We start from the raw sequence: 13,916 nt of genomic DNA, 5'->3' as shown, positions 1-13,916 counted from the left end.
TGATCCACCTCCCAAAGTGCTGGGATTACAGGCGTGAGCCACCACGCCTGGCCTGGAGTCAGAAAGTTCTGGGCTCAGATCCTGGGTAGGCCGCTTGCCGGTTGTGTGGTCCTTGGCTTCCATTACCATCATGCACTTCTCTGGTTACAAATGTGCCAGGCTCTGGCAGGTGGGAAAGACCCAACCCTGTCTCTGGTGGTGGGGCTCTTCCAGTTTTATGCGTGGGACAGATGTGAATGAAGTAATTCAGTGTACGCCACTACTTATTGAGGGACTAGTGAAGAAAGGGTATGTTCTGAGGGAAAGGAGCCCAGTTCTGTGAGGGAACAGGAGAAATCTGGGAGGGCTTCCCTTAGGAGGTGATGTGAGAGCTGCTGTCTGAAGGATGAGCGGGTGTCACTGAGGTGATCTATGATCATCCTGCAGAGAAACATCCCAGGTAGACAGAAAAGTGTTCACAGGCTCTGTAGTGAGTGGGCGGCCCTGAGGTGAGTTTGGGGCATTCACCTCTCCTGGGAGAAGGTTGCTGGGAAGATTAGAAGAAGCAGATAAATAATTTAGTATAGAAGTTGACAGAAAGGGTCAGATGCGGTGGCTCATGCCTGTAATCCTAGCACTTTGGGAGGCCAAGGTGGGCAGATCATGAGGTCAGGAGATTGAGACCATCCTGGCTAACATGGTGAAACCCCATCTCTACCAAAAATACAAAAAATTAGCCAGGCATGGTGACACATGCCTATAATCCCAGCTACTCAGGAGGTGGAGGCAGGAGAATCACTTGAACCCAGGAGGCGGAGCTTGCAGTGAGCCGAGATTGCACCACTGCACTCCAGCCTGGGTGACAGAGCAAGACTCTGTCTCAAAAAAAAAAAAAAAGAGTTGACGGAAAGGAAAAAACCTTATGAATGCGTCTAGGTAGTTAATTCAGTTCAAACGTGCCTGAAGTAAGTAGAGTAGATGGCCCCTGTCTATTGGATTCAATCAGCCCCCAAGATACATGACATTCTTGTGCATTCATAGAGTACTGACTGTATGGGGCAGTCCCTGTTCCCTATGGCAAATGTGTCCCAACCTCTGTTTCATGGTCCAGGCTCTGGGCCTGACTGCACAGGGTGGAGGTGGGCCTCTCCTTGTCTGGAGATCCTCTGAGTGACTTTTTTTTTTTTTTTTTTTTTGAGACAGTGTCTCATTCTGTCACCCAGGCTGGAGTGCAGTGGTGCTATCTCAGCTCACTGCAGCTTCCATCTCCTGGGTTCCAGTGATTCTCCTGCCTCAGCCTCCTGAGCAGTTGGGACTACAGGTGTGCACGACCATGCCTGGCTAATTTTTGTATTTTTAGAAGAGATGGGGTTTTGCCATGTCAGCCAGGCAGGTCTTGAGCTCCTGGCCTCAAGAAATCCGCCCGCCTCTGCCTCCCAAAGTGCTGGGATTACAGGGGTGAGCCACCGTGCCCGGCCTCTCTGAGCATCTTAATTCATTGCAGGCTCCAAAAAGCCCCACAGTAATGGGCCTGCGTGCTCTTGTTCATTCCTTCATTCCCACAGACACATATTGTGCCAGGCAGTGTTTCTGGACAGCAGTAGAACATTGCATATCACAGACAGGGTTCCAGCCCTAAGGCTGCTGATGGTCAGCTGGGAGAGACTGACACTCCTAGCTCATCCCAGGGATGAGTGAATGAGCATGGATCAGGCTCGGAGGGAAAGGAAGCTGGTTCCGGGAGCTGCACGAGCTGGGCTTGGGCAGAGCATCTGGAAGGTTCTCTGGAGAGTCCATGTGGCAGCCATGGGCCTGGGCCTGCCCTTTATTCCAGTACCTCTGAGTTCAGAAGAACCTGAAGGTCCCAATAGACATCATTATCACCTTGGTGCGTATGTTACAGGTTTTAATTCTTGGTTCCTCTCTTCCCCAACTTCTGGATCCTGCTTTAATAAGTAAGGGTGGAGGTGCAGGAATTTGTTTTAGAAGGCCTCTCTGCAGGCGGCCCAGATTGGAGAACCACTAGTCTAGTCCATTCTGCACCCTCATTTTGTAGGTGAGGACAGAGTTCCAGAGCAGGGGTCACATGCCCCAAGACACCCAGAAGTCTGGAGCTGGTCTAGGATTTGGGCTTGGATTGTCCTACTGGACATAAAATGACCTTCCAGTACCGACTTTTCCTTTCTGGAAATGAAGTGGGAAGTTGTCAGGGTTCCAGCATGTGTGCAACACATGCATTCTTTCAGCAAAGAGCCCCTGCACTTTCTCCCTGCCAGGTACTGTGGTGGGTGGTAGGGATCAGGCAGGGGACATGCCATACTGTGTCCTCCCTCATGCAGTTCACCCCTTAGTGGGGGACACTGATAACAGGACAATTCTATTTTTTTTTTTTTTTTTGAGACAGAGTCTCGCTCTGTCTCCCAGGCTGGAGTGCAGTGGTATGATCTTGGCTCACTGCAACTTTTGCCTCCTGGGTTCAAGCAATCCTCTCACCTCCCAAGTAGCTGGGACTAAAGGCGCGTGGTACCACGCCCAGCTAATTTTTCTATTTTTAGTGGAGACAGGGTTTCGCCATGTTGCCCAGGCTGGTCTCAAATTCCTGGACTCAAGGAATCCACCTGCCTTGGACTCCCAAAGTGCTGGGATTACAGATGTGAGCCACAGCACTCAGCCTGACAATTCTTGATAATGATACATGTGTGAAGAAAGAGAAACAAAGATGATGGAGAAGAGGGGGTGAGATTCCTTTGGACCCACACCTCTGTGCTGAGTGACATTTTATCCCAGACGTGGGTGACATGATGATGGATCGAACCATGCAAAGACCTGGGGAGTGAGTAATGGATGCAGGGTGGTTGGAAAGTATAAAAAACCTGAATGGGCATGAGCTTGAGTAGCTCTAGGGGTGAGAGCTTGGCTGAAGATGAAGGAGACAGTAGAGAAATGGGAAGGAAGATGTTGATCCGCAGATGTTACCAGGCAAGGAGCTGCCCTGCTCTGAACACCTTCCAGGTGAAATCATCAATAAGGGCCTGTTTTCTGTTGCCTGTGACCAGATGCATCCTGAGGGATACACTGTGGTAGACTTTGGATTTTTGTTTTCAGGGTGATTGGAAGGTGGAGGGGTTTAAGCTTGGGAGTTACATAACTGGCTCAGCCCACTTTGCTTCCCCTGGTTGCCCCTGGAATGAGACTTGAATGGTGTCACTAGGCTGCTGAGGTTCTCATTTATATTTAAGAAATTCAGCTGGGAGCAATGGCTCATGCCTGTAACCCCAACACTTTGGGAGGCCAAGGCAGGTAGATTGCTTGAGCTCACGAGTACAAGACCAGCCTGGGCAGCATGGCGAAACCCTGTCTCCACAAAAATACAAAAATTATCTAGGCGTGGTGGCATGTGCCTGTGGTCCCAGCTACTCGGGAGGCTGAGTTTGGAGGATCATTTGAGCCCAGGAGGTCGAGGCTGCAGTGAACCTTAATCACACCACTGCACTCCAGCCTGGGTAAGAGGGCAAGACCCTGTCTCAAAAAAAAAAAAAAAAATCTAGTCTTTGGACAGGGCTCCTTCTTACCTGTTATCTCATTGAATGGCTCCCCAAATTCTAGAACCTATTCTTTGGGCCTGAGGCTTTCCCTGTACAGCAGGAGAAGGCCCAGTCATCATCTAGGTTCCTATCACTTGAAGATTTGTGATTTTGTTTTGTGCGTCCTATCATGCTGTTTGGTGTAACCACAGCCTTACAAAGCAAGAGTCCAGGTGAGGAAGCTGATTTTGCCTCAGGGGGTGGTGAATGCCCGCTTCAGGGACCTGCAGGCTAGGCATTGGACTGGGGTCCTGCCTTCAAGCAGGCTCAGCATGTCTGCTGCCTGGCCTTCCCTAGGCTGCAGGACCTCTCCAGCTCCACTGAGGTTCTCATGCCATGAACCTCAACTACGGTTTCATTTGTCAAAGGCCCCACTTTGGACATTGCTGAACAGACAGTGCATAGACCTTTGTATTAGATACGTAGACCTTTGCATCAAATGTCAGAGGGCAGAACTTAGAGTTTTATTCATGATGATAAGTAGGAGACGAAACTCAACTGTCCTGGGTCTTATTTTTCTTGGACATTTGAGGGAAATTGAATCATCTTTGAGATGAAATTTGTGCCACCCATTGGTGGGTGTGGCCCTTGAGTTTGGTGCCTCGAATGATTCTCTGAACCCAAACAATGAACCCAACCGCAGAGGTCATGAAGGGGAAGGGGCACATCCGGGAGGCAGCCTCTGATGGGCCTCGGGGCTTCCTGCTTCTTTGTCTCTCTCCTCTTCAACTTTAGGAGGTGGGGCAGCCATTGACTTCTGCTAATCCAGGGTCCCCATGGTGGATTACGTGACATAGGGTGGCTTATCAGCTGGGAACAACGGCCAGTTTGTCCCTGAGCCCTAAGCGATTTGACCTGCAGACTCTTTGAAGGGAAGTCCTTTTCAAGGCTGGCCAAGTCTTGGCTGAGATCACAATGACCAGTGATAATGCAGTCTGCCAACTCTTAATAGCCTCTGTGTGAGGAGATCACAATAGGCCAGGTTGAGCCGAGGATGTCCCAGGGACAGAAACTTAAGGATTCTTTAGTGACGCACACATGTCTGCATACATGTTTATGCTTTTATCTTTTTATGTGCTTGTCTGTGTCTGTCTAGGCCCCTGGAACTCGGAGGCCATGGCCTGCCTTCCTTGGCTCAGTCCTCTGGCGTAATCAGTGTCAGATCTCTGCCAGTCACACGAGGTCACGGGGGGCTACTGCAGGCAGTTTGTGTCCCTGGACCCTCTGAAGTTGCATATAAAATTTGGTGTTAATGTTCACTTCTCAGAGATACGTTTAATGAGATTCTTTTTTTTTTTTTTTGAGACAGGGTCTCACTTTGTTGCCCAGGCTGGAATGTAGTGGTGCCATCACAGCTCACTGCAGCCTTGACCTTTTGGGCTCAAGCCATCCTCCCACCTTAACTGAGACTATAGGTTCATGTTATCATGCCCAGCTAGCTTTTTCCTATGTTTTTGGTAGAGATGGGATCTCACTATGTTGCCCAGGCTGGTTTCAAACTCCTGGGCTCAATGATATCCCCACGTTGCTTTAATGAGATTCTTGATGGGCCTTGTGATGTATAAACGGTGAAGAACCAATGGTTTAGGAAAAGGCAGAGTTTCTGGTCACAGAGTTTGGGGCCAGACAGGCCTTGATATGAATCTTGGTTCTGCTGCCTCCTGGCTGTGTGGCCTTGGGATATTATCTAATATTTTTGTTCCTTAGTTTCCTCATCTATAAAGTGGGGATGAAATCATGCCTATCATAGGGTTGCTGTGAGGATTAAACAAGATGAAATATGTCACCCTGCCTAGGATATGTGAGTCTCCATAATCTACTATCATCATCATTATCTACTATTGCATCAGCCACGCTCAGGTCTTTGATTTTATGCCATTCTCCTATCTACAGAATCTAGATTTTCACAACTATTTACACCTTGTTTGAAACAGTAAAATATGGATTTTGGGGGGTTATGTTTCTTTATCTCCTCCCAAAAATGGATCATTTAGAATGATTTTACTAGACAGAAAGCCGGTATAGAGACATTTTAACCTCACTCTGAAGTTTCTTCTTTTTTGAGACAGGGTCTCACTCTGTCACCCAGGCTGAAGTGCAGTGGCATGATCTTGGCTCACTGCAACCTCTGCCTCCTGGGCTCACGTGATCCTCCCACCTCATCCCCCCAAGTAGCTGGGACTATAGGCCACCAAGCCCGGCTAATTTTTGTATTTTTTGTAGAGACAAGGTTTCACTATATTTCCCAGGCTGGTCTCGAATTCCTGACCTCAGGTGATCCACCCTCCTCGGCCTTCCAAAGTGCCGGGATTACAGGCATGAGCCGTCGTGCCTGGCCTGAAGTTTCATTTTCAATGGGGGTATAAAGTTTTCTGGGCACATGCTCCCAAAGTAGATATGTGAACAAACCTTGTCACAAATGTGTAAGAGGTTTCAAAGCGAAGTACTGTATTTAAGACGTGTTTGCAGATGTTTCAGTTTTGGCTGTTTCTTTTCAATCCACTTGCTCACAGATGTCAATACTCAGGGTTAGGCCTGTGGTTTCTGCTTTGTAAGTCAAAATTGAGTGTGTCTGTCCCAAGAGGGCTTTCCCTTCCTTCCCAGAGGACGTGTGGCTTATGGGCACTCTGGTTCTGCTGCTTCTCCTCTGAGCACCCCCTGCCTCTTTGCACCCACTGGGTACACATTGTTTCGTGTGTTCAGGATGCCAGTGGGCATCTTTTTATAGAAGGGCAACAGGTTGGCTCTGAATAGCTCCAGTGTCACTATGGCTGCATTTGCCTGTGGGCTCAGCCAGCTTGGGTTTCACATAAGGGAGAACTAACGCTGCCCAGGATGGAGAGACAGGGTGTGTCATGGAAATCACACTAAAACTTGGGTCAGAAGGAGTTGCCCACAACCTCCAAAATCCCACTACTGAGCACTCAGCAAATGCTTTCCACTCTTACAACAACCTATCTTCCTCCTCGCTCCTCCTCCTCTTCCTCCCCCGTCCTCCTCCTCAGCAGCATCACCACTTTCCCCATTTAGACGTGAAGAAACTGCGGTTCAGAGAAGTTACTTCTCTGCAGAAGTGGCAGGACTGAGATTCAAAGGCAGACATGTCTGGAGCAAAGCCTTTTCCCAGGATATGCCCCTTGTCTTCTTGATCCGATAGTCCATGAGATGCCTGAGGGCTGGGGCGTGTCTCACTCGTCTTGCACATCCCTGTCTCCACCTAGCGTGCAGTAAATGCATGAATGAAGGAATGCACGAATGAATGGGGCCAGCTCCTCTGAGCCTCAGTTTCTCTGTCTGTCAAATAGGCTAACAAGTCCCTGTCTGCTTCTCTTTGATGGGGCTTATGGGAATCAGAGAAGACAGTGGCTCTGAGTGCCTAAAGTGATAGCTGATGTGAGGCAGGGAGTTCCCTCCACCTTCAGCCTTCCTTTCTCCTGTCTCCACCGCTCTTCAGAACAACACTGGGCAGAGATATGAGCTCCCTCAGGGTAGTTGGTTTGAACATCTCAGGGTTGATCCCTGATGTCTCACAATAAAACAGCACTGGATTTCCCCCAAAGCTCTGGGAGTCTGTAGCTTTGTAGCTCTGGCTCAATCTCTTTTCTTCTAAAAGTGCATGACATTAGGAAACTGAGGCAGGAGGATTGCTTGAGCCCAGGAGCTCCAGACCAGCCTGGGCAACATAGTGAGACCCCTTCTCTTAAGAAAAAAAAAAAGTCTGACATATTCAGATCACATCACTCTCCTGCTTAAAATAGTGAATCACCATTCCGCACAGAATGGTGCCCATATTTTTGGCCTAGCCCTTGAGGCCCTGTGCAGTTGGACCTCTGCCTGCCTCTCCAACCTCATTTCCTACCATTTCTTGCTTATTTCACTGTCTGCACTGGCTTTCTGTTAGTTTCTCAGATAGACCCACCTTATTTCCACCCCAGGACCTTTGCACATTCTGTTCCCACTGCCCAGAACCCTTTCCTCCACATTTTACCTGGCTCACTCACACTGCAGGTCTCAGCTCGAACAGCTTCTCCTTCAAGAGGCCTTCCCCGGTCACCTCTTCTAAAGTAGGCTACCCTAGCCATTGTTTTTATTTTGAAACAGAGCCTCACTCTGTCACCCAGCCTGGAGCGCAGTGGCACGATCTTGGCTCACTGCAGCCTCCGCCTTTGTGTTCAAGCGATTCTCCTGCCTCAGCCTCCCTAGTAGCTGGGACCACAGGCAAGTGCCACCACGCCTGGCTAATTTTTGTATTTTTAGTAGAGATGGGGTTTCATCATGTTGGCCAGGCTGGTCTTGAACTCCTGGCCTCAAGTGATTGCCTTCCTCAACCTCCCAGAGTTCTGGGATTACAGGCATGAGCCACTGTGCCTGGCCACGCTGCCATTCTTCTCTCTCCTGGCACCCTGTAGTTTTCCTTCTTGGCTCTCATTGGAATTTGTAGTCCTTTGTCTTTTTATTGGCTGGGTTATTTAACGTCTCCATCACAAGTTTTGTGAGGGCAGAAACCATTCTTGCTGTGTTTTGCTCATGTGGCACAAAGTGTCGATACCTATCCCTACAATTATTGAATGAATGAGAACATTTTCCCCCAATCATAAAAGTCAACCATGTTCACCATAAAAGTTTTGGAAACAGTATTAAGAATAAAATAAAAGTAACCTGCGATCCTACCACTCAAGCTGTCTGACAATCACAGCCTACATTTTGAGTTTATTTATTTATTGAGACAAGGCCTGGCTCTATTGCCTGGGCTGGAGTGCAGTGGTGCCATCCCAGCTCACTGCAACCTCTGCCTCCTAGGCTCAAGCCACCCTTCCATCGCAGCCACTCGAGTAGCTGGGACTACAGGCATGAACCGCCATGCCTGGCTAATTTTTTTGGTATTTTTTGTAGTGATGAGGTTTCATCATGCTGCCCAAGCTGGTCTCGAACTCATGAGCTCAACCAATCTGCTTGCCTTGGCCTCCCATAGTGTTGGGATTACAGGTGTGAGCCACTGTGCCCAGCTCATTTATTTTATATATGTACATTTAATTTTCAGATCATCTCTAAATAGGTTTGTATCCTAGTCTTCTTGTATTTTCTTATGAATGCTCTTTTAAAACATTATTTTAATGCCTGTACAAATTTTTTATTAGGAATTTATCATAAAAATAAATCTTGTATTGTTGGACATTTAGATTGTTCTCAAATTTTCACCATAAAACCAGTGCTATGGTAACCATCTTTGTCTGCATCTCTGATTATTTTTTTTTCTTTTTCTTTTTTTTTTTTCTTTTGAGACAGAGTCTTGCTCTGTTGCCCAGGCTGGAGTGCAATGGCATGATCTCGGCTCACTGCAACCTCTGCCTCCTGGGTTCAAGCAATTCTTCTGCCTCAGCCTCCCAAGTAGCTGGGATTACAGGCGCCCACCACTACACCAGGCTAATTTTTTTTGTATTTTTAGTAGAGATGGGGTTTCACCATGTTAGGCTGGTCTCGAACTCCTGACCTCAGGTGATCTGCCCACTTTGGCCTCCCAAAGTGCTGGGATTACAGGCATGAGCCACCGCGCCCAGCCATCTCTGATTATTTCTTTAGGAAATTCCCAGAAGTGGGAATTAATCATATGCATTTCAAATAATGTGAATATGTTCGAGATTCTTGATCCATCTGAGATTTGGCTTGCTCTTGTTGACCTCAAGCACTTGGATATCTTGTGGAGGAAGATGTCAATTAGTGAAATGTCTGAATTATGAATTTACTTTGGATAAAAAAGCAGTTTGATTCCATGTAACATTTCAAACTAGGTTTTGTTTGTTTTAAGGTATCACTTAGAAGAGCTCTTTGCTCTAATAAATAGGTAAGAGTTATTTATTCTGAAAAATATTTGTATGAACATGGGGAATCTGAAATCCTTGACCCCTGCCTCTCTTCTTGGTTCCAGCGACTGTGTGTCTCAGCTGGGAGTGGGGCTAGATTAGTGATGATGAATTCGTTCATCCACCATCCATCTGCCCACCCTCCTATCCATCCATCCATCTATCCATCCACCATCCATCTTCGTACCTTCCTATCCATCCATCCACCATCCATCTACCCAATCCTCCCATCCATTCATCCATCCACAGTCCATCTAACCATCCTCCCATCCATTCATCCATCCACCATCCATCTACCCACCCTCCTATCCATCCATCTATCCATCCGTCATCCATCTTCCTACATTCCCATCCATCCATCCATCCATCCATCCATCCATCCATCCATCATCCATCTACCCATCCTCCCATCCATTCATCCATCCACCATCCACCTATCTATCCTTACATTCATTCGTCCATCCATCCATCCACCATCCATCTACCCATCCTTCCATCTACCCACCCTCCTATCCATCTGTGGTCCTCACCACCTTACAAATAGGAATAATCACACTCCCTGTCTGGCACCAGCCAGTGTTATCTGAAGATCTGATGGGAAGATGGGTGCATGAGCCTGCAAACTGCAAAGTGAGATGCACCGTGGAAGATGCATCTGTGGAAATCTTGGGAGGGGATCGAGGGGCTTTCGTGGTGGGTGGGAAAGGCTTGCCGGTGCCTGGACAGGCCATCCTGGCTGAGGAGGCCAAGGCCTGCCCGGCTTCTTCAAGGTCCCAAGGAATTCTCCATTCAAGCATTTTGTACCAAGTATCTACCATGTGCTGGGCACCGAGCTGACACATGGGTGGGAAATCTCTGGGCTTGGGGTGAGGGTTCAGCTTGTCTTCCAGCCTCCACCCAATCTTAGTCGTGTCATATATGCACACCAAGGGCTGGGAGACTTTGCAAGTTCATGTGCAGGGTGGTCCTGCCCTCTAGGTCAAGACCTCTGGGGCTGCCCACTGGGGTCTTTTTTCCCTTCAAGGTTGGGCTTGTGGTTCATAAATGAAACAGATCAGGGAGCCACGTAAAGAACCCACAGCGAGGCTCGCTCTGAACCCCAACCTTCTGCTGCGGGACAGCGATCCTGCCCCAGACCCATGAAAGCCTCCATGGTTTGGGCTGTGTGGTGGTGAAGGGCCCCCGGGAAACTCTGGTTTTCTGAGGCCAGCCAGGGCTACCAGGGAGCTGAATGCTTGCTCACTCCCAAGACAGAGGCTGCCACGAGCCTCCATCCTGCTGCTCCCAGGGATTTTATCATAATCAGTGTGAAGTTTCTCCTCATCTGCCTTTTCCTGGGGCCAGGCCTACCTGCTGTGGACAGCGACAGGTGCCTGTGGGTGGGGCGCTCTGTGCTTTGCCTTCTCTCTGCCCCGGCGAACACCTACCGTGCACGTTTTGACTCTGGGGCGGGATCTTTTTCTGTTCACTGCCCTGCCCTGCCAGGGCCACGTGGGCGAGGGGAGCTGGGGCGGGGCATGTGTGTGTCCTGGGCCCGCGTCCACGATGGCACTGTTCTTGAGCGTGCGCCATGCCTTGTGGGCCTGGGGACTCTGGGGTGTGGTTGTCTCATGACCACCCACTTGGACCCAGCTCCCAGCCTGGGGGTCTTGCCGCCTCCCTCAGCTCCTTTCCTCCGCACTCAGGGTCTCCCAAGCGTCTCTGGGCTTCTGTGGTTCCCGCTTTCTTAGAGACCCCCAAGCCCCTCATCTTTCCTGCTTCCTTCCTCCCTCTCCATCAGCGAGGCTTTCCGGTGTGCATGGTTCCTTGTGTCCCCTCCACACCCTATCCTGTCAGGGCTGGGACTTTTGAAACTCAAACACCTCTTCACCATTTTCTGAGGAACTCTCCCTTCCTGGAGACACTGAATATAGAATTCAGAATTCCTTTCTCAGGGGCCACGGGAAGCCAAGAAATATCAGGGGGAAAAAGCCCGCATTTAAATATTTCAAGACAGTCTCCCCTCCTCACAGAACCCCTTAGCATACTCAGAACTGACTCTTGCTCAGGCAAGAACCCTCTGTATTGCAGCTGAGGTTTTGGAACACTGTGGCCCTTTGCAGGCCATCAGGGGCTGGAAAACTCATGGCGGGGGGTGGACTGGCTCTTGGTCAGAAGCCACTACTTGCCCAGAATGGCCAGCAGCAGGTAATCCTGTGGGTAGAAGCAGAGCACGTTCCCCACCATCCTTGTCCTTGATGCCCAAAATACCAGCTCTGCCTGAGGCTGCTCCCACTACACCTTAGAGGGGCCGTGTGTGTCCTAAGGATACACTTTCCCCTGGATGAAGAGGGCAGAGTTAGGGACCCCTGGACAAGGGGAGAGAAAGGAGGGGGAGGGGGAATCTCAGGAAAGCTTGTGAGGGAAGGAACAGATCAGACTCTGGGACTCTTCCTGAGAGCCTATGTGTCAAGGGCCCTCTAACATTTCTGTGTCGGGGTTTGTCCTGCCTGGGTCGCCCTGAAGTGGGCCCCTCACCAGCTAGAGCCTCTCACGCATTGCCACCCACAATGCCCAAACCTCTGCCAGACCCGACCATGCTGCTGGGATCTGTCTGCTCCTGCACCTATTGTTTTCCACCAGAATGGGAGCTCCTGGAGGGTTCCGGGGCTGAGTCTAACTCATCTTTTTGTCTCAGCATTGCCCAGCACCGGGCCAGGCACAGAGCAGTCAGTGAGGTTACTGACTGACTGAGTGATGGTGAATGAATGAGTGGGTCATCAGGGCAGCCATGTAAGATTGTGTAGGTTGTGCACTGCCCAACTCCAGGTGGCATTGTTCATGTAAACTACTGTACAAGTGGTGCACCCTGCAGTTGTGTCATGTGTGGCCTGCACAAGAGCATAAGGAAGCCGGGAGGTAACTCGGCGAGTAAGCCAATGAGCTCATTTGCCTTCTTTTCCTTTGCTTCTCACAGGCCAGTTAGGAGACAGCTGCTGGGGCTGGTTCAAGGCTCAGGCTGGGTCCTGACTCTGCTCCTCTCTGATATTCAGAGCACAGGTGGGCCCTGCCCACGCTGGGTGCACTCTGAGCAGACGGGTCCACCTGGCCAGGATTTGCAGCATCATTTTTGGAGCAGCCCAGGCCTTGCAGGCCCTGTAGTGGCCCCTGTGGTCCTCACTGGAGTGCGTCTGGGCCTCCCCTCCCTACTAGGGACACCAGGGGCTGAATCTAGGAAAGGGGTCTGCAGGGTGGGGCTGGAAGCAGGGTTTGATGAGGCACACTGCTGCCGGCCCCTGCTGCCTCCTTTTGTGCAGCGCAGGGTCTCTCTGTGTGGGATTAGGGTTGAGTTCTGTTAAGTGCCTGAGCAGGGCTGGCTGAAGACAGTGGTCCTAACACTTCCTCATGTTTGTAAGGAGAGCCCTGACTTCCAGCTCCTAGGGAGAATTATTATTATTATTATTATTTTGAGACAGAGTCTCGCTCTGTTGCCCAGGCTGGAGTGCAGTGGCGTGATATTAGCTCGCTGCAACCTCCACCTCCTGGGTTCAAGCAATTCTCCTGCCTCAGCCTCCCGAGTAGCTGGGACTACAGGTGCACACCACCATGCCCGGCTCATTTTTTGTATTTTTAGTAGAGATGGGGTTTCACCATATTGGCCAGGCTGGTCTCTTGGCCAGGCTGGTCTCAAACTCCTGACCTCGTGATCCACCTGCCTCTGCCTCCCAAACTGCTGGGATTACAGGCATGAGCCACCATGCCTGGCCAGAATTTTCTTTATCCCCATTTTCCAGATATGAACGATAGGCTCAGAGAGGGTCAGCAGCTTGCCCATGGTCATGCAGCCAGGAGGTTCCGTATGATTGTCTCTGCCTTGGTCCCTCCTGCTCTGCTGTTTACAGATGGGAATCTTTTAAAGGTGGGAGTTAAAGAAATGAAGGGCATCTCTAAGACCCGCCCATTCCCCTGACCCCTGTCCACCTCTTCTCAGGTTCAGCCCACAGTGGGAAGGAAGGAGGGCTGGGCAGGCAGGGCAGCTCCAGGGGCAGATTCAGAGCTGGCAAACTCTCCTGGGGGTTCCTCTGTGGTTCCTTCGCTGGTTTCCTCTACCCTCTGGTCTCTGCTGCATTTTGCCTCCCTGGTATTTGGGTGCCCTTGGGCAGGCCCTGGTTTCCACCCTCTGCGGTTCACAGACAGCAGGCATCAGAGGCAACAGCCCTGTTCTGGGGTCTGGAGTTCTCGGGAGGTGGGTGGTTGGGGCTAAGGGTACAGACTTTGAAGTCAGATGAACCCCTGTTGGATCCCGGTTCTGCTGCCCTGGGCACGTTTCTCTGACTCTCTGAGCCTCAGTTCCCTCCGTTGTTAAGTGGGAGGGAATTACAGCATCAACTTCATGGAGCTCATTGTGAAGGTCATTTGTGTAGGGGCATTGATGCTCTCCAAGAGCCCTGTGGTCTGGGTCCCTGCGGGACTCGTGCAGCCCCTGGGAGCCTCAGTTTCCTCATCTGTAAGT

The 13,916-nt window shown here is 50.2% G+C and overlaps 1 annotated feature.

The window, feature by feature from the left end:
* Positions 6,041 to 6,140: an enhancer, noted in NCBI's record as "active region_17728". NCBI's record gives its function as "activates an Ori minimal core promoter by ATAC-STARR-seq in GM12878 lymphoblastoid cells {active_cell/tissue: GM12878}" and the evidence as "EXISTENCE:reporter gene assay evidence [ECO:0000049][PMID:35858748]".

Source organism: Homo sapiens, chromosome 20, assembly GCF_000001405.40.
Source record: "Homo sapiens chromosome 20, GRCh38.p14 Primary Assembly".
Lineage (NCBI taxonomy): Eukaryota > Metazoa > Chordata > Mammalia > Primates > Hominidae > Homo > Homo sapiens.
Note: the sequence above shows the minus strand (reverse complement) of the source record. Positions and strands in the feature narration are given on the sequence as shown.